Below are 26,750 nucleotides of genomic sequence, written 5' to 3'. Positions count from 1 at the left end.
ACGTTATCACACCCGGCTTTTTTACTTATTTATTTATTTATTTTTGAGACAGAGTCTCACTCTGTTGCCCAGGCTGTAGTATAGTGGTGCAATCTCAGTTCACTGCAACCTCCACCTCCAGGGTTCAAGTAATTCTTGTGCCTCAGCCTCCCGAGTAGCTGGGACTACAGGCACGTGCCACCACGCCCGGCCAAATTTTTCTTTTTTTTTTTCCTTTTTGAGACCAAGTCTCGCCCTGTTGCCCAGGCTGGAGTGCCGTGGCATGATCTCGGCTCACTGCAACCTCTGTCTCCTGGATTCAAGCAATTCTCTGCCTCAGCCTCCTGAGTAGCTGGGATTACAGGCGCCACTGTGCCTGGCCACAGCTCTTATTGTTTTTAAAAAAAACACAACCATTCAATAAAATAACCAAATCAATATTCAAAATACACAAGCTTCAAAAGAAACAGCAAGCCCAAAGTACCAACCTACAATGGGATTTAAAAAACAATGAATGGGGCCAGGCATGGTAGCTCACACCTGTGATCCCAGTACTTTAGGAGACAGAGGCAGGCAGATCACTTGTGTCTAGGAGTTAGAGACCAGCCCTGGTGACTCAGTGAAATCCTGACTCTACAAAAAATACAAAAATTAGCTGGGCATGGTGGTGCACATCTGTAGTCCCAGCTACTTCGGGGGCTGAGGTGGGAGGATCGCTTGAGCCAGGGAAGCAGAGGTTGCTGTAAGCAGAGATCATGCCACTACACTCCAGCCTGGGCAACAGAGTGAAACCCCGTCTCAACAACAACAAAAAACACAATGAAGCTGAATTTGCGGTTAACATTCACTTGTCATAAGGAAAGTACCTGATCAACATAATGATTTTCACAGAAATGAGATAACAGCTCAGCCCAAATCTACAGATGTTATAAAATGTGTAGGCTTTTAATATATAAGTTATTTGGCTCCTTTGTTTTGGCATACTTAAAACAGAAGAAAACCACTTCTGGGGCAGAAAAGCTAGAACTGATATCACAGTTCCCTCTGGTGGCTGCTATGTGTCAATTCGATCTCCTTAGAAGAAAATAGTGTAGCCTAAAATAGGTCTTTCTTTACCACAGTTAGATCCCTGCAGCAATCTACTTCTCGAAACAGAATAACCATTCAACTATGACAGCTATCTTAAAATCATAGACTGTAAATAATATTGGTCACTTCTACATATCATAGAAATAATGTTTCAACCAGAAAACATCTACTTAGTCCTTTAAAGAAAGACAATCCAATTAGAAGTTGACCACTTCTCCATTATCAAAGTAAAATCTACTCCATGTAGCCGCCACTCTTCTACCTCCAGTCAATTCTAACTATTTAAGACTAAACAAATAACTTATCTGAGTTTCCATTTTACTACAGTAAATGGTATAAAAATAGTTCACATGGCTTTTCTTCTAATTCAAAGGTATAACTGGATGTGAAAACCACTTAGCACACTCCTAAATACTTACCTAACTCCTAAACAATTACCAGACAACTGGTGCTTGTACCTCAGAATTTCAGTAAGTTTCCAATTAATTTTTAAGCTGCCTTGTGATACTCCACATTATAAATCATAAATGCTTTCAGTTCTATTTGGTCTTTATTTTGATTCAGTGAGAATTAATTAACACAACAGTTGATGTTGTCATGAAAAAACAATGAAAAGGTAATAGTTAAAATATAAATATTCATATATTTGTATCAAGAAAATATTAGTGCTTGCTGAAAAAGGCTGAACCTTCAAAAAACAAAATCACAAAGAAAGCACTTCAAAGTGCTTCAACAAAAGTATTCATCATCTTCTCCCTTATAAGCCTATCTAAACGCTTTCTAAGTATCGTTAAAGAATTACAAAGAAAGCTAAGGTGAACTCTTTTTTACAGCAAAGAGTATTATAAGTCAGTATGTATTCATGGCACTTATAATAGTTCTGAGTTAATATGATAGATTTAAAATGTTAAGAATAAAAATTCCTGGCCAGGCACAGTGGCTCACGCCTGTAATCCCAGCACTTTAGGAGGCCATGGCGGGCAGATCTCTTGAGCCCGCAGTTGGAGACCAGCCTGGGCAACATGGAGAAACCCCAACTCTACAAAAAATAGGAAAATTAGATGGGCATAGTGATGCACGCCTGTGGTCCCAGCTACTTATGGGACTGAGGCGGGAGGATCACTTGAGCCCAGGAGGTCGAGGCTGCAGTGAGCTAAGATTGCACCACTGCAAACTAGCCTGGGCAAGAGAGCGAGACTCTATCTTAAAAAAGAAAAAAATAATAAAATAAAAATTCCTAATAAAATAGGAAGAAGGAATTATAGGAAGAAAGAATTATTAAAAGCATTATCATTAAAGTCAAGAATAAGACAAGAACATTCTTCTACTATTACCATATAGCACTGTTATAGAAGTAACAGCCAATGTGATTACACAAAAAAGAAATGAAGAAATATAAAAATGTGAGGCCGGGCACGGTGGCTCATGCCTGTAATCCCAGCACTTTGGGAGGCCGAGGGAGGCGGATCATCTGAGGTCAGGAGTTTGAGACCAGCCTGGCCAACACGGCAAAACCCCATCTCTACTAAAAATACAAAAATTAGCCGTGCCATGATGGCACACACCTGTAATTCCAGCTACTCCGGAGGCTGAGGCAGGAGAACTGCTTGAATGTGGGAGGCAAAGGTTGCAGTGAGCCAAGATTGTGCCACTGTACTCCAACCTGGGCAACAGAATGAGACTCCGTCTCAAAAAAAAAAAAAAAGTGAAAGTGGGGAAAATATTATATACAAATTATACAATTCTTTACCCCCAAAGACCCGGAAGATTTACCTGAAAAACTATTATAGACAGTGAGTTTATATAGTAAAATAATTGTATCTACATAACAAATTAATATGTAGAAATCAGTCAACTGAACGGCCATAAAATTTTGCTTCCATCCAAAGGTCAACTAAACCTACAGTAAGGGTTTTTTTAAAAAAAACGACAAACCTACAAGGAAGGGAAGATAGGAGAGAATTCAAGTGCACTAAAATTTTGGAAGAGGGAAGGCAGATAAGCATGGATTAGTTGTATCTGACTTAGCAGGCCTGAAAAAGGTAAACACTGAATCCACAGGAAGCAAAGTTTTGAAATGAACAAATTACAAATGAAACTGCAGTTAACATTCACTTGTCAAGGTAGGAACTATCTTCATCAACATAACAATTTGCAGAGGAATGAGGCAACAGTTCAAAATAGAATACTCAACAGGTTCAGGAACCACTGAAAGTAATGGCAAAAACTGCAATTACTTTTGCACCAACCTAATAGCAGCATCTCTTCTCCAAAGGGGATGACGTACTTAGGGCAGCTAATGTTTGGGAGGCCGAGGCAGGTAGATCACTTCAGGTCAGGAGTTCGAGACCAGCCTGGCCAAGATGGTGAAACCCCATCTCTACTAAAAATACAAGAATTAGCCAGGCATGGTGGCGCACACCTGTAATCTCGGCTACTCAGGAGGCTGAGGCATAAGAATCACCTGAACCTGGGAGGCGGAGGTAGCAGTGAGCCAAGATCAGGCCACTGCACTCCAGTCTAAGTGACAGAGCGAGACTCTGTCTCCAAAAAAAAAAAAAAAAAAAAAAAGACAGCTAATAGACAACTCAGTGAAAACTACTGAAAAGCAATTAGAAACCTACATTTCCTTTCCCATCCAAATAAATCCACAAGTTTAATCTTTGGAGAAAGTAAAAGATTGACTTTGGACAGGAAGATTTAAGGCACAGTTCAGGTGCAAGCTCTTTATTTCAGTTGAATCTGAGGTATAAAATAAACTGATACATACTCAGGACTGGTGCTGAGACCTAACCTCCACCTAAAACTGCAAGTCACACATCTCCCCATTCAGGAAATTGGAAGGCTCTTTCTGGAAACATGATTTCATAAAAAGATACCCAAGAATGGAGATTTCCCAACAAACATCCACCCAGATCATCCCTTAATGAAATGTGACATCGACAGTGTACTGTGACCCTCAACGGCTTAGAGTGTCCACACAGCTTTTAGACATGCACCACGAACAGACAACCAAGGACTACCTGACAGCTGAGTAAAGATATGAAAGATATCTTCATGATGAAAACAAATGGGATGAAAAACTCAAGTTGGTAGAAACAGTAACTATCTAAGGGGAGAAAACATTTTAAGAAAATAATATATTCAGAGAGAAAAGAAAAGATATCCACAAAAATGAACGGAATGCTAGGAAAAAATTCGTATTTACAGGAGGAAAAAGGTACTTCTCCATGTTAAAAATATGAGTGCAGAAACTTAAAATCCAATAGATGAAAATACCATTTCCCACCTACTGAAACCAGGGCTCCTTGGAGAAATGGTATATTGCAGGTCAGAGGCAGGAAATGTGTAAGATTAGCCCAAAACACTTGCTTATAGTAGATAGCAAGAAAGCTACTGAAGACTAATGGAGTTAAAAGGACTCCAGAGCCAACATGAATAGGCTCCAACTGGCCAAAGATAGGACAATTTGAACATGAATAAAAATCACTGCAATTAATTAAAACACATCAAATATGTGGTTTGGGGTTTGTTTTTTGTTTTTTTTTTTGTTTGTTTGTTTTTTGTTTTTTCTGTTTTTTAGAGGCAGGGTCTCACTGGCAACCTAGGCTGGAATGCAATGGCATCATCATAGCTCACTGCAGCCTTGAACATCTGGACTCAAGTGATTCTCCCACCTCAGCCTCCTGAGAAGCTAGAGCTACAGGAATGTGCCGCCATGCCTAGCTAATTGTTTTATTTCTTGTAGAGATGAGGTCTCCCTATGTTGCTCAGGCTAGTCTTGAACTCCTGGCCCTAAGTGATCTTCCCACCTCAGCCTCTCAAAGCACTGGGATTACAGGCATGAGCCACCATGCCCGGCCTCAAATATGCTTAAATCCGTGAATTCATCACGGTACTAATACCAACAAAAACAAACCTAATTCCAAAGCAAGATTCAATAACATAAAGATATCAATTTTCCCTAAATTATCTGCAAACTTACTTTGATCTCAATAAAAATACTAACAGAATTTTTAATTAGATAAACTGAATCTCAAATTTATATGAAAAAATAAGCAAGAACAGGAAAATTCTTTTTTTTTTTTTTTTTTTTTTTTGAGATGGAGTCTCGCTCTGTCACCCAGGCTGGAGTGCAGTGACACAATCTTGGCTCACTGCAAACTTCACCTCCTGGGTTCAAGTGATTCTTGTCCCTCAGCCTCCCAAGTAGCTAGGATTACAGGCGCCTGCCACCATGCCCAGCTAACTTTTTGTATTTTTAGTAGAGACAGGGTTTCACCATGTTGGCCAGGCTGGTCTCCAACTCCTGACCTCAAGTGATCTGCCTGCCTTGGCGTCCCAAAGTGCTGGGATTGTAAGCGTGAGCCATGACGCCCAGCCAAGAACAGGAAAATTCTAAAAAGAGATGAGTAACAGAAGAAACTGGCATATTATGAAGCTACAATAAATAAAACAGTGAGGTAGGGAATAAGAAAAGACGGACCAAACAGACAAAAAAAGTCTGAAACAGACCCAATATATCAAGGAATTTAGTATACAATGAAATTTCAATAGGGTATATAAATTTTTCAGAAAAGTAGTATAAAACAACTGGGAAGCAACTGAGAAATATTACTTTGAATTCTTGTCTCACACCGAAAGAAATTCCAACATAAAAATAAAAATTTGGGGAGCCACCTACCCCTCATCATACATAAACGTTAATACAAGATAAAGTCTTAAATTTAAAAATTATTTAATAAAAAATTTAATGTAAAAATAAATTACAAGAATACCGAACATTTATTTTTATAATTTTAAAGTTACAAGATCCTTGTAAATCTGACATAAAAAAAACAGATGAAATAACAAATTTTTAAAAAAGAAAAAATACAGATGAAGACAGAGACTTTAGGCGAAATGGTGTGGCAAGAAGTTCTAGGTATAAGTACTTCCACCCAAGCAACCATTGAGTGGGAAAAAATGATTGAAACCAACTACTTTGGATCTCTAGAACCTGACTGTACACCTAAAACAAATACAGGAGCAATCCAGGGAGACGCTGGTGATCATTCATAAGTGAATAGTACAAACCAGCCACTATCCCTCATTCCTCATCCCAACTCAGCTTTGGGAATAGCATACTATGTTCTTGGCACAGCTGGCTGTACACAGGGCTGATAGGAACTTTTACCAAAATTTGGGATTGTGTGTTTGGGCTGGTCTGGAGCAGACACTTCCTTGGTTTCAGCCTTCTGGGCAGGAGCAGCTTTCCCTGTAGCATCTATCACAGATTTACTGAGACATGACCATTTTCTCTTTTCTCTGCAGACATTTAAGGAAATTTTTGTCAGGTCAGTACCTCACCACACAGATAATGGAAGAGAAACTCCAGTGCCTACAAACAAGAAACATAAACTGGGCAAAAAAAAAAAAAAAAAAGTGCAGAAAAAGTCACGTGAACAGCTCTATCCCTCAACAAGTAAAAAATCTGCGATCTATAAAGACTGGGGGAATCAGATTTCCAAAGTTAACAAAACATTTGAAGAAACAATGGCTGAAAACTGCCCTAATATGATGATGATAAATATACATATCCAAGAAGCTCAACAAACTCCAAAAGCAGGATAAACTCAAAGATATCCATGTCAAGACACATTGTGGACCTCAAAGAGAGCAGAAATTTTGAAAGCAGCAAAAAAGAAGAGACTCATCTGGTTCAAGGAATCCTCATTAGATTATTTAGATTATCATTATCAGCATTTTTTCATCAGAAACTATAGAAGCCAGAAGTCAGTGGGATGACATATTTAAAGTGCTAACAGAAAGAGGGGGGAAAAAAATCTGTCAGCCAAGAATTCTATACGCAGCAAAACATCCCTCCAAAAATAAGGTGAAACTAAGATATTTCCAAATAAGCAAAAGCAGAAAGAAGTTCATTTCCTGCAGACCTGCCCGACATGAAATGCTGAAGAGAGTTCTTCCAGCAAAAATGATAAAACACTGAAGAGTAACTCAACATGGTAAGAAGAAATAAAGCATATGAGTGAAGGTAACTAAAGAGATAAAACAGAAAAGTCAGCGGTAATGTACTTTAGGTTTATAATTAATTTTTTTATATGATATAAAAGATAAAGGCACAAAACAGTAATTTTAGGCTGGGAACGGTGGCTCACACCTGTAATCCCAGCACTTTGGGAGGCCAAGGAAGGCAGATCACCTGAGGTCGGGAGTTTCAGACCAGCCTGACCAACATGAAGAAACCCCGTCTCTACTAAAAATACAAAATTAGCTGGCGTGGTGGCACATGCCTGTAATCCCAGCTACTCGGCAGGCTGAGGCAGGAGAATCACTTGAACCCAGGAGGCGGACGTTGTGGTGAGCCAAGATTGCACCATTGCCCTCCAGCCTGGGCAACAAGAGCAAAACTTCGTCTCAAAAAAAAAACCCAAAAAACAGTAATTTTAAATTTATATTAATGAGCACACAATATATACAGATGTAATCTATGACAATAATATTACAAAGGAAGAGGACAGAGAAGTACAGCAGTAGAGTGTTTGTATACTTCTGAAACCAAGTTATTTGCAATATGTTATTATAAATTTAGTCTTCTGTTTGGTGGTTCTATCCATTTTTGGAAGGGTATATGGCTATTTTAATCCCCAAGGTAACCATTTAAAAAATACTTTTAGGCTGGGTGCAGTGGCTCACACCTGTAATCCCAGAACTTTGGGAGGCCAAGGTGGGAGGATCACTAGGTCAGGAGTTCAAGACCATCCTGCCTGACTCGATGAAACCCCGTCTCTACTAAAAATACAAAAACATTAGCCAGGCGTGGTGGTGGGCACCTGTAGTCACAGCTGCTCAGGAGGCTGAGGCAGGATAATGGCATGAACCCGGGAGGCGGGGCTTGCAGTGAGCCGAGATTGTGCCACTGCACTCCAGCCTGGGCGACACAGCAAGACCCCGTCTCAAAAAAAAAAAAAACTTTTAAAATATATAGAAAAGAAGGGAATCAAATGGTACACTAGAGAAAAATTTAACATAAAAAGCAATAATAGAAGAAATGGAAAGGGTTGGCTGGGCGCGGTGGCTCATGACTGTAATCCCAGCACTTTGGGAGGCTGAGGTGGGTGGACCACAAGGTCAGGAGATCGAGACCATCCTGGCTAACACAGTGAAACCCCGTCTCTACTAAGAATACAAAAAAATTAGCCAGGCGTGGTGGCGGACGGTAGTCCCAGCTACTGAGGAGGCTGAGGCAGGAGAATGGCGTGAACCCGGGAGGCAGGGCTTGCAGTGAGCCGAGATCGCGCCACTGCACTCCAGCCCGGGTGACAAAGAAAGACTCCGTCTCAAAAAAAAAAAAAAGAAATGGAAAGGAAAAAACATAAGACATGCAGAAAACAGCAAAATGGCAGAGGTAAATCCTTATGAAGACTTACCTTAGACATAAATAGATTAAATTATAATAAAAGATACACTGGCAGACTGAATTTTTTAAAACACGATCCATCTATATGCTGTCTACAAAAGATTCACTTTAGGGCCGGGCACCATGGTTCATGCCTGTAATCCCAACACTTTGGGAGCCGAAAGCAGCAGGATCACCTGAGCCCAGGAGTTTGAGACCAACCTAGGCAACAAAGTGAGATCCCATCTCAATTTAAAGAAAAAGAAAAAGATTCACTTCAGATACAAAGATACAGAATAGCTGAGTACTATTTTCTGTTAGGATAGAAAACCTAATATATGCAAATATTAACCAAATGAGAATTGGAGTGGCTATACTAATCAGAAATTAACTTTAAATCAAAAAAGGTTATAAGAGACAAAGGACATTATATATTGATGAAAGGTTCGTTCTAGCAAGAAGATACAGCAGTTCTAAACATACAGATACTTAACAACTAAGCATCAAAATATATTAAAGCAAAAATTACCAGAATTAAAAGGAGAGATAGACACAAAACTCTATGATAATAGCTGAAGACTTCATTATACCCTTCCAAAAATGGATAGAACGACCAAACGGAAAATCAGTAAGGAAATGGAAGGGGCTTAAACAACACTATAAACTACTCAGACCTAAAAGACATATACATACAATAGACTTCTAAAAGGAAGAAAATTCTGACACACGCTATAACGTAGAACCATGAGGACATCATGCTACCTGAAAACAGCCAGTCACAAAAAGACAAATACTGCAGGATTCCACTTATGTGAAGTATCTAAAGTAGTCAAATTCATAAACAGAAAGTAAAATGGTGGTTACCAGGGGCCGGAGGAAGAGATAATTGGGGAACTGTTGTTTAATACGTAGAGTTCTGGTTTTATAAAATAAAAAAGGTCTGGAGATCTCCTGTGTGACAATGTGAATATACCGACTAATATTGAGCTGAACACTTAAAAGTCGTAAAAATAGTAAATTTTATGTTGTTTTTTTACAATTTAAAATAAAAAAGAAAAAAAAAGTACCATTTCACACGCACTAGGATTGCTATTTTTCTTTCTTTCTTTCTTTCTTTTTTTTTTTTTGAGGTGCAGTCTCACTCTGTCGCCAGGCTGGAGTGCAGTGGCATGATCCTGGCTCACTGCAACCTCTGCCTCCCAGGTTCAAGTGATTCTCCTGCCTCAGCCTCCCAAGTAGCTGGGACTACAGGCACGCGCCAGCACACCCAGTTAATTTTTGTATTTTTACAAAAAATGTTTACCACGTTGGGCAGGATGGTCTCGATTTCTTGACCTCGTGATCTGCCCGCTTCGGCCTCCCAAAGTGCTGGGATTACAGGCATGAGCTACCGTGCCCGGCCTAGGATTGCTGTTTTTCTAAAAAAGGAGGTCAGGCGTGGTGGTGCTCACACCTGTAATCCCAATGCTTTGGAAGGCCAAGGTGAAAGAATCAATTGAGGCCAGGAGTTCAAGACCAGGCTGGGCAACATAGCAAGACTCCAGCTCTACATACATACATACATACATACATACATACATACATACATACATTTTAAAAATGGAGGAAAAATTTTAAAAAAAGAAAAGTGCTGATAAAGACTTTCAGAAATTGGAACTCTTCTGTATTGCTGGTAAAAATGTAAAATGGTACCACACTGTGGAAAACAGTTTAATGGTTCCCCAAAGTCACATGTGGATATTAATCTATGACCCATCAATTTCATTGTGAGATATAAACCCAAAATAACTGAAAGCAATGACTCAAATAGATACCTGTACAACAATGATCACAGAAGCATTTTCACAACGGCCAAAAGGTGAAAACAACCTAAGTGTCCAACAGAGTGAACGGCTAAATAAAATGTTGGTAAACATACACAGGGGAATATTATACAGCTTTAACAATGAATAAAACTCTGATACATACTACAACATAGATGAACTTTGAAAACATTATGCTAAGTGAAGTAGGCCAGACACAAAAGGACAAATATTGTGATTCCATTCATGAGGTAGTTCGATACAGAAGGTAGAACAGAAGTTACCAGGGGCTTGAGGAAGGGGAGACAAGGAATGCTAATGAGTATGGTTTCTATTTGGGATGATGAAAACATTCTGGCAATGGATAATGTTGATTTTTACAAGAAACTGTGAATGTACTTAATGTCACAAAATTGTGTACCCTTAAAAATGGTAAAAAATGGTCTTATGTTACTATACTTTTTTTTTTTTTTTTAAGAAAAGAAGACACCATATGGGGGAAAAAAATACCAAAAACAATGATATCCTATGAAAAGAAAATTTTTGTCATATCGTAATAAAATGAAGGCAAAGAGCTCCTACAATCAATGAGATAAACCACAATCAAATAGAATAAATGACAAAAAATAAACAGTTCACACACAAAAATCACTCTTAAATATGTATCTACAAAAATACTACTTAAATTCTGAAAGGCCACCAATTTTCTCTTATATTAACAAAGGCCCACCAAGTCTTAACAATATCCCATGCAGCAAGACTCCTATTCTGTTAATTGGTACAGTCTCTATAGAGGGCAACTAAAAAAACATTTCTTTGACCAAGCAATTCCACTTTTAGGCATCCATCCAACAGATATATTATCTCATATTTTAAAGAACAGGCCAGGCACAGTGGCTCACGCCTGTAATCCCAGCACTTCGGGAGGCTGAGGTGGGTGGATCACGAGGTCAGGAGTTAGAGATCAGCCTGGCCCACATGGTGAAACCCCATCTCTACTAAAAATACAAAAATCAGCCGGGTGTGGTGGCGGGTGCCTGTAATCCTAGCTACTCAGGAGGCTGAGGCAGGAGAATTGCTTGAACCCGGAAGAGACTGCAGAGAGCCGAGATCACACCACTGCACTCCAGCCTGGGCAACAGAGCAAGAGTCTGTCTCAAAAAAAAAAAAAAAGTAGAAGGATATTCATGGTAAAATCAAAAGATTTAAACAATCCAAATGTCTCAACACACAATGGATAAAATTAATGATGACAAAGACATACAACAAAACACCATGCAGCACTTCAAAACAATGAAGCAACTCTAAATGGACTTACATGCTAATAAGGATCAACCACAAATATAAATTAAGTGTAAACAGCAAGGTATAAAACAATGCATAAACGCACCACACACAGTATCTCTCGATAAACGCCCAAGAAAATGACAACAGTGGTTTGCCTCTAGGGAAGAGAATTGTGTAGATGAATCAGAGGAAGAAGAGTGAGTTTTCCTTCTCACTGTTTACCCTCTTCTACCTTTTAAAGTTGGTATCATATGCAAATATACTGGGATTTGATTAGGGTTTCACTGAATTTAAGAGATTAATCTGGAGACAAACTAAACATTTTTACATTATGGAAGTCTTCCCATTCAGACACTGGCACATCTTTCCATTTAAAGTTTTCTTATATGCCCTATGGTAAGGGTACCCAACCTTTTGGCTTCCCTGGGCCATATTGAAAGAACTGTCTTGGGCCACACATAAAATACACTAACACTAATGATAACTGATGAGCTAACAACAACTAAAATCCAAAAAAAAAATCTCACAATGTTTTAAGAAGGTTTACAAATTTGTGTTGAGCCACACTCAAAAGACCTCCTAGGCAGCACGGGACCTGCGGGCCGCGGATTGGACAAGCTTGCCCTATGGTATTGTGTTGGGTTTTTTTTCTGTTTTTTGTTTTGTTTTTTGGTGTTTTTTTTTTTTTTTTTTTGAGATGGAGTTTCGCTCTGTCACCCAGCCTGGAGTGCAGTGGCATGATCTTGGATCACTGCAACCTCTGCCTCCCGGGTTCAGGCAATTCTTCTGCCTCAGCCTCTCAAGTAGCTGGGACTACAGGCGCACACCACCACGCCCTGCTAATTTTTGTACTTTCAGTAGAAACGGGGTTTCACCATGTTGGCCAGGCTGGTCTTGAACTCTTGACCTCAGGAGATCCACCTGCCTTGGCCTCCCAAAGTGCTGGGATTACAGGCAGAAACCACCACGCCCGGCCCCTCTATGGTACTGTTTTATAGTTTCCTTCATTAAAGTCTTGCATACTTCCTGTTATAGTTATTCCTATTTCTTACAAGAATAAAATGGATTTCTCCATTACATGAAAAAATTTATATAGCAAACAAAGATACCATAAATATATATACTTGTAGCTGGGCGCAGTGGCTAATGCCTGTAATCTCAGCACTTTGGGAGGCTGAGGTGGGCGGATCACCTGAGGTCAGGAGTTTGAGACTAGCCTGGCCAACACAGTGAAACCCCATCTCTACTAAAAATACAAAACTTAGCCAAGCCTGGTGGCGGGCACCTGTAATCCCAGCTACTCGGGAGGCTGAGGCAGGAGAATCGCTTGAACCCTGGAGGTAGAGGTTGCAGTGAGCCGAGATCGCACCACTGCACTCCAGCCTGGGTGATAAGAGCGAGACTCCATCTCAAAAAAAAAACAAAAAAACATATATACATATATATATCTATATATGTATATATATAATTTGTAACAGCTATAACAAAAAATCGATACTTGTACTTCAGAGGGAACACATTAAATTTAGCTATTTGATAATATACAGTGTTGGGAAGAATGTGGAAGAAGTGGTGGAAATGCAGTTGGTATAGAAGAATAACGGAGGGCAATTTGGCAGTTATCTATTAAAATATATAATATGCATATACTCTGACTCAGGAATTCCTATTCTCAGAATCTTCCCTATAGAAAACACTCATAAATCTGAAGAAAATGCAAGTATATTCCTTGCAGCATTATCTACAATAGCAAAAAATTGGAAACAGACTGTCCATCAAAAGAATGTCTAAGCTGTATTATATCCATGCCATTAAATACTTCACGACAGTTAAAATGGAGATCTTTCTGTATTAACTCTTAAAGACAGCTAAGACATACCACTAAGTGAAAAAAAAAATTGCAAAAAGATATTTATACTATACATGTTTTTAAAAGGCATACACAAGATTACTAGATAATTCTTAAGGGTAAATGTAATACATACTAAAGTGATATTCTTAACCTTTGCAGAATGGAGACAGGGACCAGAAAACCAAAGACAGATAACATAAATTATGTATTCACATTGCTTACAATTTAGCCACAAATCTGTTGAACATATCTCTATTAGATACCTAAAACAAAGGTAGTCTGGCTTTAGAAAATGATAGGAACCATTTAATTCATGTACTCAGCTACTAAAAATCCATTCAAGGGTTATGACAGAGTCTAAACAAAAATCCCTTTGATCTAATAAATACATGAATAAATCAATTATTTCATTCAGGGATCTCTAGGGTGTAGAATTTCTAGAGGTAAGAAATAATTTCTTCTCTCCTATAGGACCAAAATTTAACTACAAGGTACTTTCAAGTAATTTTAACTTTCTTTGGGGATCTCATCCATTCCCATGATTTAAAATAATACCCTAATACCCCTAAACTCCTTAATTTATCTCAATCAAGATGTTTCAAAACGCCAAACTGCCTACTCTCTACATCTAGTTTTTTTTTTAACTTGCTCTATCCCCTTTTATCTGTACCTCTTCCAGTTTTTGCCATTTCACGATGTTTTATGTCTAGTGACTCAATAATAGAAATCTGGAGATCATTCTTAATTTTTTCTCCTTTCTTCCCCTACAGCCTGCAATCATCAAATGCTTTTCCTACTTCCAAAATAAATCTCGAAATTGTCCACTTTTACCCATCTCTACTACTATCCTTCTTGCCTGAGAAGTCCACCATTTTTCTGCTGGAATACTGATATTACTTACTATATTCCCCAGAATATCTAAAGAACTTCTTAAAAATGAATCGGCTGGGCATGGTGACTCATGCCTGTAATCCCAACACCTTGTGAGGCTGAGGCGGGTGGATCACCTGAGATCAGGAGTTCGAGACCAGCCTGACCAACATGGAGAAACCCCGTCTCTACTAAAACTACAAAATTAACCTGGTGTGGTGGCACATGTCTGTAATCCCAGCTACTTGGGAGGCTGAGATAGGAGATTAGCTTCAACCCCGGAGGCAGAGGTGGTGGTGAGCCGAGATCACACCACTGTACTCCAGCCTGGGCAACAAGAGTGAAACTCCATCTCAAGGAAAAAAAAAAAAAAAAAAAAATATATATATATATATATACACACACACACACACATATATATAAACTAAAAATGAAATCAGACTACAACATTCACTTCTTACGTGGCTTTTCAGTATACTTAGGAGAAAGCCTACAATTCTTCCCCTTACCTGTATGTAATATTTCCGTCTGCTTTGATCCCTACCTACAATCTAGGTTCACTTTCAGCCCTACTCTTCCCCACCTTGCTCATTAAGCTTCAGCTAAACTAAACTAAGCCTTCTTTCAGGCTGTGGAAGAGTTCAAGCTCCTCATCTCAGGATCTTCCTCTGCCTGAAAAGACTCCTTTTCACGCTTCCGTCTATTCTCTGCTTAAATGTCTCTCTTTCAAAGAAAAGATCCTCCTGCATCAAACACTCCACTAATCCATCGCTGGTCTCAACTAGGTGTCTCCTGCTACAATCTCAGATCATACTCATTTCCTCAGCTGCATTTATCCAATTTGTAGTTATGTTTGTTGATTTGTAATCTGTAACCCCCAGAAGACTGCAAGGTCCATGAGGGAAAAGACCTATGCTCTTATTGCCTTACTATAACCTTGAACTTAATAAAAGCCTGGCCAATAAATATTTACTGAATGAATATTTTTCTTTAACAAATAACCTTTCTGAGAGGATGCCCTTTTTTTTTTTTTTTTTTTTTTGGTTTGGGGTTTTTTCACTCCTCCCTGACCCACACTGAATTCTGGCTCTCTCTCTTCTTGTGTGCATAGGACAATCACTTCACCCCCAAGCCCATTTCCCTGTTAAAAATGGAAAATTAGAATAACTTCCTCAAAAGATGAAACAAGCTAAAATATAATTTATCTCTATCCTTTGTCTTTGGTCCTAATTTTTTTTACTTCTATATTCATCTGCGTAATTACAGTTAGTAACATGACCTGATTTTAGTCCCTAATGAAAGGTTATCATACCCTATCCCTGTGATCCCCTTTACCAAAGAAGGTAAATAAACCCATACTTCCTTCTCCAAACATAGTTTAAAAACTACAACAGCATAAATAAACTTCAACTACACACGTTAATTTGGAAACAAATCATCAAACATTCATTTATTCTTATGACCACTTGTTGGTGTTCCAAATCTATGATCTAGTGTAATGACTGTTTTTGATAACAAATTTTCCATAATGTTTAAACAGATGGAGTAGAGGGCTTTTAAAAAAACATTACCTTCTTTACGTGACTTCAAATGTTCCATGATTAAGACCTCATCTAACCTAAAGAAACAACAATACTTGCATCAATAAGCAAATGAGACCAGAGATCCAATAAGGTAGACTTCAGGTACTAAGAATCTATTTCTCTAATACAGACTATTACTAAGTAAAAATCTCTTGCCTCTGTTTCATAAGACTCAAAACTCTTTTTTAACCAGCATTTTTTTCTTGAGATGTTCAAATGTTTCAGATTGCTTTAAAAAAGAAAAAAAAAAAGTCAAAGGAATACAGAGCATAGAGTATCAGAATTTCCTTATTAGACAAATTTCAGAAAATAAAAAATCTTATCACTTACAATTCAATAGCTTTTTATTTTTTAAATTATCTAGTAAATAAAGTGAGCCTGAAGCAAAGAAGGCAACCCTCAATAAATCTTAACTAAAGAAAGCAGTCCTCAGTAAGTCTTATTTTGCTGATCTCTTTTATTCAATCCCTTCCTTCATATCTTGAGTTATACTTTTGCCTCTGAATTTCATCATACATCTAACACAATAACTACCAATTATGAAAAACATGCTTGACAGCACTCTCATCACAAGTTCCTTGAAAAGACCTTATACTATATTACGACCCCACTTTGCAGTTGAGTAAATTACTCTGTACAATCAAGTAAATCTCCTACGGCACACAGCTGTAGGTGGCACATGCAAAGTTTGTACCTAAAAAGTCCACATACCTTTCATTATACCACATTATCTTCCCATCAGCTAGAACTAAGACTAGTGAACTGGCCTAATAAACTGATCACTAGAATTCAAACAATCAGCTAAAGACTTCTGCAACATAAGGATAGGGAACGGAAAATAAGGATGTCAGACTGCGATGAATACGTCCATTGTTGATAGTAACAGTATATATGCAAATTATTAGTGTGATGACCAGGTGGAAAAATCATAAGAATACATTTTAAAGTTTAAACACTGGGTCTCAAGGGGAATGGAATTATGCAGGAACTCTCATTTTCTATGTCACATATATTTCTTACTGCATAAAGATATTAAGGGAATGTTTTGTTTTTATAACCAAAATATTCTTTAAGAAGTGTCCTTTGTGATATGCATATAATTATTCATTTCTGTTTATTACCTATTACACTTTGTTTATATTTACTCATTTATATGACTACCTCTCTGAACTGAACAGTGAGAACTTACATGAAAAACACACATAACACACTTCCTACTTGATTTTTTCTTTTTAAAAGGGTTTTTAAGTCCAGGCTTAATTTTTATTTTGTTTCACATGCCAACAGAAATTTCTCAAGTTTTTGCAAAATGAGCAATGTCATCAGACTGAGCTTTAGGAAAAATTAATCTGGCTACAATGGAGTCAAGAATAGGAAGAAACTGCCTTGTAAATAATTCCGTTTTCTAACAGACTAAGGTGAAAGTTAAAAGCATAGTAAGAGCTAAAGATGACAGTAAAGGACACTTAAAGGTCTCAACATTAGTCTAGTGAGGGGAGGTCTGGTGCGGTGGCTCACGCCTGTAATCCCAGCACTTTGGGAGGCCAAGGTGGGCAGATCACCTGAGGTCAGGAGTTCGAGACCAGCCTAGCTAACATGGTTAAACCCCATTTCTACTAAAAATACAAAAAAATTAGCCAGGGACAGTGGCGCGCACCTGTAATCCCAGTGCACCTGTAGTCCCAGCTACTCGGGAGGTTGAGGCAGGAGAATCGCTTGAACCCGGGAGGCGGAGGTTGCAGTGGACCGAGATCACACCATTGCGCTCCAGCTTGAGCAAGAAGAGCAAAACTCTGGCTCAAAAAAAGGAAAGTCTAGCGAGGGGAAGTGAAGGAGGTGGTCATAACTATGAGACCACATTAAGCCCCAGAAGCAAAAATTTTAAATGTTACAGAATTAAGACAAAAAGAAGCAGTTAAAAGATTTGGCAATTAGGTCACTAGCGACCTCAGAAGAGATTTGTTATAGTGTTGACAGTGCAGATCAGACAGTGGATTTCTTTCTAAAAGTATAGGGAAAAGAAGAAATCGTTAGAAAAAGATGCAGAGATTCTGGAGGATAAAGCATTTTTATCTCGATGGAGGATAAAGCACTGCAGACTAATGAAAAAGCCAGAAGAGGGAAGTCGGTGAAGAGAAACATAGAAATTCTTCTAGTCATTACCAGATAAGCACACACTAAGTTTACCATACCAGGTGGTGGCAGCAAATTCATTATGTTTGGTCCATATAAACAGACAGTTTAAGAATTGCAGCTGCTATTAACTGAGCACCTACTATTGGCCAGCTGCATACCCTGTATTATTTTTAGTCCTCACCTCAACAATCTCAGGAAACCAGGCATTACCATACTCATTTGTTAACTGACTGAACTACAGCTCAGATGTTACATGACTTGCCTGATATCGCAAACTGGTAAATACTGGAGCAAAATTGTTTTTAATAGTTATATTAAAGCATAATGTACGTGTAGTAAAATTTACTTATTTTAAGTGAAAGATTTGATAAATGTATTAAATGTATATACTTCTGCAACAATCACCACAATCCAGTTTTATATAACACTCTATCACCCCAAAACTCCCTTCATGAGCAGGGCAGATTTAAGCCTGAATCTGTATGACTCCAACTCATGTCATGCTACAATGAGAAAAATGGCTTTTTTTGGCAGAAAATCTGCAAAATTAAGTCGTTACCCTTCCAATCTTCTCTTAGTACTCACTAGTTCCCTTTCCATGTGAGGCCCTCATATATCTCTAGAACCATACTCACATATCATGATCTCACCAAATTCACGAGTTTACTGTAATTTGGAAACATACCCCCTAAAAGGACAGTATAATCAGACTTTTATATAGGATGCTATTACAGATACTGTGCTCTTTTTTTAAAAAAAGCAAAAGGAGTTAGGAAAAGGAAAGACAAATGAACAGGTAAGTCCAGGAGGAAGACTGAATGAAAACAGAAGAGTAAGGTCCTTGAAAAAGGAAAATGTGATATACAAATAAAGAAAACATGAAATAACAGAAGTCAGGAGTCTGTGTCATGGAAGAGAGACTAACTGGAACAGAAGCTTCTCTTCCATAAGCAATGTAAAACCGTACAGAGACATAGGATGGAATGACTTCCTAGGCAGGAGTTAACACTTATTTGGCTAAGAAACAGGACTATACAATAATAAGACAGACAAAAATCAAAATAAAGTGAGACAATATTCATAGTAAAGTTATAAAGCTAAAACTTGTTAAATTTTATAATCATGATTTTCCTATAACTAATTAAAACAAGTGCAAATTTTTCTTTAGGTAAAAAAACAAGCAGGCTGGGCGCGGTGGCTCACGACCATAATCCCAGCACTTTGGGAGGCCAAGGCAGGCAGATCACCTGAGGTCAGGAGTTCAAGACCAGGCTGACCAACATGGAGAAACCCCGTCTATACTAAAAATACAAAATCAGCCCGGCGTGGTGGCACATGCCTGTAATCCCAGCTACGCAGGAGAAACGCTTGAAACCAGGAGGTAGGGGCTGCGGTGAGCCCTGATCACACCATTGCACTCCAACCTAGGCAACAAGAGCAAAACTCTGTATCCAAAAAAAAAAAAAGAATTATAGACATATAAGAATTCAGGCCTGGTGCAGTGGTTCACATCTGTAATCCCAGCACTTTGGGAGGCTTAGGCAGGTAGATAACCTGAGGTCGGGAGTTCAAGACCAGCCTCACCAACATGTAGAAACCCCATCTCTACTAAAAATACAAAATTAGCCAGGCGTGGCGGCTCATGCCTGCAATCCAAGCTACTCAGGAGGCTGAGGCAGGAGAATCACTTGAACCCGGGAGGCGGAGGTTGCGTTGAGCCGAGATTGCACCATTGCACTCCAGCCTGGGCAACAAGAGAGAAACTCTGTCTCAAAACAAAACAAAACAAAACAAAAACAAAAAAAAAAACAAGCAAATATAGAATTATAAATATATAAGAATTCAGGCCTGGTGCGGTGGCTCACACCTGTAATCCCAGCACTTTGGGAGGCCCAGGCAGGTGGATCACCTGAGTTCAGGAGTTCAAAACCAGCTGGCCAACACGGTGAAACCCTGTCTCTATTAAAAATACAAAAATTAGCCAGGTGTGGTGGTGCACACTTGTAATCCCAGCTACACAGGAGGCTGAGGCAGGAGAATTGCTTCAAGTTGAACCCAGGAGGCGGAGGTTGCAGTGAGCTGAGATCATGCCATTGCACTCTGGTCTAGGCAACACAGCAAGACTCCGTCTCAAAAAAAAAAAAAAAAAAAAGAATTCAGATACCATATCAGGGCCAGAAATAATTAAAATGATTAAAATAAGATATGACAAGCCTGGAACGAAAAAAAGTACAAATCTAAACAGGAGGATAAAATAAAATTTTCATTTAACTTATATTTTCACTTCCACCCAAACCTTTCCTTAGTTCTATAGAACTAGAAACACAATTCACTAAGTCTAGATGAAATGCTCTTCCAAGCAGAGCCAAAGAAACTGCTAGCCCATAATTAACAGAACACATATTTTATGACTATCTAATATATAACAGGTGTTGTAATATCCAATTTGTTAAATCAGTCCCCTGATTATTACCCTGAACACTCTGTCTAGTCCAACTTGATATTCCAAGAAACACTATTCTTCCTAGGAAAAAGACATACCTCTTTGAAATGAATGATTATAAAACTGTTCCAGTATTAGAAGAGAAGTCATTTTTTAATGTTAAGTAACAAAACCCAAAAATTTAGTTGTCAATTCTTACACTAGTAAGTCCAGAGATGGTATCCAGGTGACTACGGCAGAGAGTAATATACACATGTATGGCTATAAAGTAAAAAGAATTTGTCTCACTGTATTATAGTCACATTTTACAAACATTATTCTGTCTGCAACTTCTAACTGTGCATCCCAATGTTACTTAGAATAGCTATGTAAGTATTTTTCTTTTTTTTTTTTTATTATACTTTAAGTTTTAGGGTACATGTGCACATTGTGCAGGTTAGTTACATATGTATACATGTGCCATGCTGGTGCGCTGCACCCACTAACTTAAGTATTTTTCTTATCCAACCTAAATGCATGGTTAGAGACAAATAAGTTTAATGCAAGAGTTTTAACAGATCTTTCCCAACATTTGCATATGAAGTTGCAACAATTAGTTATATTCCTAGCAAATTTATCCTGATTACAATTTAACATTAACTTGTAATATAAAAAAACATTTTTATGGATAAATTTTTAAAAACTCTTTAGACTAACTTATAAATTCACAAAAACTAATCTGACCTTGAAATTCACTAGGAACACTTAGAGAGAAAAAAAAAAATCTGGAACCCTCTGAAAAAGAGAGAAAAACCTAATCCTTGGCAGCCTACTGACATTAAAGAGAACGGTCTAAATTAAGAATAAACAAAAACAAGATGATAACTTATACTAATAAAACATAAACGTGCAAAAGTTTTTAAAAACCCAACCTACTGGCTGGGCATGGTGGCTCACGCCTGAAATCCCAACACTTTGGGAGGCCAAGGTGGGAAGATCGCTTGAGTCCAGCAGTTTGAGAGCAGTGTGGACAACAAAGTGGGTCCCTGTCTCTACAAAAAACCGACCTATTAAACATGCATTATCTATTTCTGTGAATAATCACTTTATTTTTTTTTTTATTTTTGAGACGGTCTCTCACTCTATTGCCCAGGCTGGAGTGCAGTGGTGCAATCTTGGCTAACTGCAACCTCCACCTCCCAGTTTCAGGTGATTCTCCTACCTCAGCCTCCTGAGTAGCTGGCATGACGGGTGCCTACCACCATGCCTGACTAATCTTTGTATTTTAGTAGAGACAGGGTTTCACCACATTGGCCAGGCTGGTCTCGAACTCTTGACCTCAGGTGATCCACCCGCCTCAGTCTCCCAAAGCTAAGATTACAGGCGTGAGCCACTGAGCCCGGCCAACCAGTTTACTCTTATGTCATTTCTTGAAATAGCAAACATGAATATTTACAGAACATTAATCAAATCAGTAAAACTAAAACCCAACAGCTATACCCTTCTTTCAAATTAAAGAGCATTGATTTTTCTTAAAATTTATTACTTCTAATTTTCAATGGACTGTTATAAAGTTAAAAATAAAACAGGACTAAGAACAAATCCCAAAGTCATACTAATCAAGTGATTTTGCTAACCTCTCTGCACATCTTTTTAAACTCTTAAAAAGAGTTTAAAAAATGTTTACGAAAATTCATTCTGCAGCTCCACAGAAGTGCTTCAAGTATTGTGTAAAGCTTGATCCAAAAAAAATTAATATATCTTAAATATGCACAAAAACAACAGATATGTTCAAATGTGTTATAATCCAAATTTTAACACATTTTAAAATGACCAACTCATCTTGTTGCCAAGCATTTGGTGATGACCATAAAGACCCTTTTCATATGTCTATTTTAGTAAGAGACATCAAAGACTACGAAGTGATTTGTTTAAAAAACCAGGTTGTAAATATAAAAATGTGCAACTCCAACTACATAAAAAAAAAAATTCTTGCTGGTATACAACCAAAATAAAATATGAAAATAAGCTGCAACTGTTACTCAGATTGCTGCACTCAAATTCATGGATTTATCCAACAGCAATTTTTCTCATTGACAACTTTGTAAGTGTTATATATTGGAGACCTGCATTAGAACTTTTTGATCTGAATACTTCAAAAGTCCTGTTCACTTCTATGCTTTGACAGGAATATAAGAAAATTAACCAACTGAAGTGTTTTTAAAGGAGCAAAACGCAGGGAGTCAAAGCAATTTATTTCTTCCCTAAATTGAAATGCCCTACATAAAATACTATTTGTGAATCCAATGAGAGAAAACACTTGAGTTTGGGCTCTCCTTGCATTCGCTAAAAAAATCACATGCAGGCCGGCACGGTGGCTCACGCCTGTAATCTCAGCACTCTGGAAGGTTGAGGCGGGCAGATCACCGGAGCTCAGGAGTTCGAGACCAGTCTGGCCAACATGGTGAAACCTTGTCTCTACTAAAAATCCCCATCTCTACTAAAAATACAAAACTAGCCAGGTGTAGTGGCACGTGCCTGTAGTCCCAGCTACTTGGGAAGCTGAGGCAGGAGAATGCTTGAACCCTGGAGGCGGAGGCTGCAGTGAGCAGACATCACGCCACTGCACTCCAGCCTGGATGACAGAGACTCTGTCTCAAAAAAAAAAAAAAAAAAATGGCTGGGCAAGGTGGCTTACGCCTGTAATCTCAGCACTTTGGGAGGCTGAGGCAGGCGAATAACTTGAGGCCAGGAGTTCGAGATCAGCCTGACCAACATGGTGAAATCCTGTTTCTACTAAAAATACAAAATTGGTCAGGCACAGTGGCGCATGCCTGTAATCCCAACTACTTGGGAGGCTGAGGCAGGAGAATCACTTGAACCCAGGAGGCAGAGGTTGCAGTGAGCCAAGATCACATCACTGCACTCCAGCCTGGGCAACAAGAGTGAAACTCCATCTCAAAAAAAAAAAAAAAAAAAAAAAAAATATATATATATATATATATCCCATGCAATTTGAATAGCCCAGTCTTCTCATAATCAACGACATTTATTATGATATATATTAATAATATTGTCAAATGGTATAGAGACATATTAATGCTAGAGAGACAGGAAATATAACAATTCTAATTATACCATGCCTTTTGACACCAGGGTTTCAGCATTTCATACCCATTCTTCCCATCACATTAATACCAGAGCATCTGACTGAAGGTAAAGATTCACTTTGTCTCAAATGCATTAATATTAAATTTGTACACTTCTGTACCTCAAACAAGGGCAAAATACAATAAAACTGAAAAAATAAAAACTGTTGTTCAAAGATAATATAAGCTCTATATCCACACAGAAGTTAAAAATGTTCATATGTCAGCATATATGTCATACTTGAGTGATTCAGGATTGTCTCACCACATGAGATACAAAAGCCCAGCCCATGGAAAAGTAGGGACCACTTTATATCTTCCTCCCAACAATTTAAAAGGATAGGTGGGAGGGAACAGATATTAGAAAGGATGCACTAAAGAAATATGCCATAAATATGCAAAGTATTTTTAACTGTCAAAATACTTTGTAAATGGATCTAAAAGCATTTACATATGTTCCTACTGTATAATAAAAGTACTTATTTAGTCAAGGCCAATTAAAAATCATCAGGTTATCTTCATCTTACTGTCTAGCACATAGCAGCATCACTAGTTGCTGTTTTTAAGTAAAGAAATGTTCAACTCTAAGCTAAATCGTTAAGCAAAACAAGAACCATTCTGGTATTACGTAAAAGCAGCACTGCTTTCCGTTAGTATACATATGTTGACATTACAGAAAAGTACTGATTTTGCATTTTTTATGTTCCTCATCTCCAAATATCTACTAAACACAACCAATTATCAAGCTTCCCCTATCAACATAACTAAGAACAAAGAAAAAAAATCCTAGAAAGATAAATCTTTTGTGAAAATATGTGGCGATAAGCATCATCCATCTATTTGAAAGATCTAACCCTTGATTCATTATTGAATGATCTGATGCCTGAGATGAACTTCAAACTCATTAGAGATGTTATATTCATTCAAGTTAGCAATATTTAGAAAACAATTACAGACTGTAAATTGTACAGACATATTGAAAAAGAGACTATGTTAATTCTGATCCAAACAGCCCGTTAGTTTTGAAACAAGGCAGTATAAAAATCTAATTGATAACTGTGGTTATCAACATCACTGGGTTTTCGTGATAATTAAATTACTTAACACATGTTAAAAACTAGTGTGGGCACGTATTGATAATTTTAGAATGTGAATGATGGGTACATGGAGGTTCAGTACACTATTCTTACTAGTAAAATTTAAAGTTTCCATAATAAACTTAAAAAAAAAAAAAAAACCTTAGAATTGGGCTAGCATACAATAAGGGCTCAATACACGCCATAGGTATTACCCTGTGGGCTACTTGCTAAGATTAAAGGAAAGTGTCCTGGACTGTGCCTAGAACGGTGTATATTTAATGTAAGTTACTATTCTCACATCATCCTTCACAATGTATATTCAGCAAATGCTTATCAATTCACTATTTTTTGAACCATGTGGACTGAATACTTAAGCGTAAATAACTCATCTCTGACTCTGACAGAGATCTACAAGTTACCACATCAACTGTCAATGGGCTCCAGAGACATAATGTGTCCAGAGTGCTGACTTCAGATACTTTTAGTTTCAATTGCCTGAAGGAAAATATGACTGGCTATCTTCATCTTCCTCTCTAGCACATTACATAGTTGCCTTAAAACCAACAAATTAAATAATTCTCTGGTAACACATTCAAAAATGATCGTTAAGTTAAAGATGATCAACATGGAAGATGGGGAACGAAGAAATTAACTAGATCAGTACACTGGACTGATCAGCATACTACTTGGTGAACAAGATAGTACTAGAGGAGTTGACTCCCTTTCCTAAGCAAATACATGAAAAAGATCTAGCAACTCATGAGCCATAAGTGTCAAAATATGTGTTTCCAGCAGACATAAACAAAAATATAAATGATTATTTCTATGTTTCCAATTCCTTCAATCAATTAGCCATTGTTTAAGGAAGAAAAAATGTTCAGGTTGCATGCACAGCATTCAACAAGAAATAACTTTAATTCCCATTTTGGAACTCTAGAGGGCACCAGAAATATGCCCTCCTTCGCACCACCCCTCCTCCCGGGTAACGTGAGCAGCTGCAGAAGCCCGTCGTCTGGTTGCTGAGGTTGGTATTGCAGCAGCAGGAGCGATGTCTGCAGCGGTGGAAACAGCAGCGCCCACTCCCAGCTGCCTCACCAGCCATTACCCAGGCTTCGCCCTGGGGGCAGCTGCCACCCAAGGGAAAGCTCCTCCCCCTCAAAACAACGGGGAGGGCCAGGTCCCATAGCTTAACCCCTACAACCTGACAATGTCCTCTATTAGCAACAAATTAGGGGCAAAGGACTCACAATGGGGGTGTTTTCCTCCTCACTTTCTGCCAAGGATGCACCAGACAGGGCTGAAGGCGATTCTTGGTCCTGGGATAGGAGGAAAAAAGAAAAATGTATCAAAAACACACAACCTGGTGGGAGAACCCAACCCTTTCTGCCAGAAGGAGGCAGAGAAGGGAATAAGAGGTCAAGGAGGTTCGGTCCTTCTATTATTACCCCCACCATGCGCACAACAGCCCCCTCCTGCGTAAGTGGGGCAAAACAGCGCAAAATACATATTTGGGGCCAAAACCCATGTGAAAGGCAAAATCTGGAAGGGAGGGGGCCTAAGGACACCGAGCCTGCTCCCGGGAAGGGAGGGGGGAAGGGAAAACGTTGCCTCGACGCCAGCAAGGGATTTGTATTCCCTCCTAAATTTGCCCACCCAGCGTCATCCCCGTCACTCCAAGTACCAATTCAGAGGTAAGGGGCGGCTCACGTCACTGCTGGGCCGATATCGCCCACATTTGCCCCAAGCAGTTGCCCTGGGCCTGAGGTTTGCCCCCCCCTGCAGTCGGCGACCGGCAGCGCTGCCTCCCCGTCCGCCATTAGAGACCCAGCCAAACAATACGTGCGGAGCAAGAGCCGCGCAGCGCAGCGCCGAGGAAAAGAAGAGCGAAGGAGGGGACCCGGCGGAGCAGAGGCAGCAGCCCTCACCCCGAAAAACTTGGGGACCTCGGCTCCGGTGGACAGGGTGGGAGCGCTGCCCCGAGAGCGGAGACCCAGCCGGGGCGCCCCTCCCCCGCCCCCCGCCGGAGAGAAAGGAAAATGCCCCGCGACCTCCCCGGGCGGCCGGCACCCCCGCCCCGCCGTCCCGCCGTCCCGCCGCCCCGCC

At 39.0% G+C, this 26,750-nt stretch overlaps 1 protein-coding gene across 37 annotated transcripts in view, besides 5 other annotated features; it reads right to left on the bottom strand.

The window, feature by feature from the left end:
* The window catches only part of ZMYM2 (zinc finger MYM-type containing 2), a 225,276-nt gene that overhangs the window by 103,195 nt on the left and 95,331 nt on the right, over nucleotides 1-26,750 (bottom strand). For 18 of the 37 annotated variants that reach the window (NR_148365.2, NM_001353163.2, NM_001353157.2 and 15 more), the window contains exon 2: nucleotides 25,895-25,963. Coding sequence is in view for 12 of the 37 variants with exons in the window: in XM_047430584.1 (XP_047286540.1) it covers nucleotides 20,640-20,701; nucleotides 25,895-25,963 (131 nt within the window). In the remaining 25 variants the exon portion in view is untranslated. Of the gene's footprint in view, nucleotides 1-15,849; nucleotides 15,897-17,518; nucleotides 17,633-20,639; nucleotides 20,702-25,894; nucleotides 25,964-26,328; nucleotides 26,671-26,750 lie in introns of those variants that run through there. The other 19 variants (XM_047430584.1, XM_047430585.1, XM_047430587.1 and 16 more) reach the window with 7 other exon arrangements.
* Nucleotides 18,046-18,115: a silencer, noted in NCBI's record as "silent region_5147". NCBI's record gives its function as "represses an Ori minimal core promoter by ATAC-STARR-seq in GM12878 lymphoblastoid cells {active_cell/tissue: GM12878}" and the evidence as "EXISTENCE:reporter gene assay evidence [ECO:0000049][PMID:35858748]".
* Nucleotides 25,678-26,448: an enhancer, noted in NCBI's record as "NANOG-H3K27ac-H3K4me1 hESC enhancer chr13:20533613-20534383 (GRCh37/hg19 assembly coordinates)". NCBI's record gives its function as "activates a minimal SCP1, AML or CMV promoter by ChIP-STARR-seq in naive H9 embryonic stem cells {active_cell/tissue: H9 hESC(naive)}" and the evidence as "EXISTENCE:reporter gene assay evidence [ECO:0000049][PMID:30033119]".
* Nucleotides 25,736-25,985: an enhancer, noted in NCBI's record as "active region_7414". NCBI's record gives its function as "activates an Ori minimal core promoter by ATAC-STARR-seq in GM12878 lymphoblastoid cells {active_cell/tissue: GM12878}" and the evidence as "EXISTENCE:reporter gene assay evidence [ECO:0000049][PMID:35858748]".
* Nucleotides 26,546-26,635: a silencer, noted in NCBI's record as "silent region_5146". NCBI's record gives its function as "represses an Ori minimal core promoter by ATAC-STARR-seq in GM12878 lymphoblastoid cells {active_cell/tissue: GM12878}" and the evidence as "EXISTENCE:reporter gene assay evidence [ECO:0000049][PMID:35858748]".
* Nucleotides 26,646-26,705: a silencer, noted in NCBI's record as "silent region_5145". NCBI's record gives its function as "represses an Ori minimal core promoter by ATAC-STARR-seq in GM12878 lymphoblastoid cells {active_cell/tissue: GM12878}" and the evidence as "EXISTENCE:reporter gene assay evidence [ECO:0000049][PMID:35858748]".

The sequence above is a fragment of the Homo sapiens genome, chromosome 13, assembly GCF_000001405.40.
Source record: "Homo sapiens chromosome 13, GRCh38.p14 Primary Assembly".
In the NCBI taxonomy this organism is placed as follows: domain Eukaryota; kingdom Metazoa; phylum Chordata; class Mammalia; order Primates; family Hominidae; genus Homo; species Homo sapiens.
The sequence above is the reverse complement of the archived record's forward strand: the minus strand, read 5'-3'. Positions and strand labels throughout refer to the sequence as shown.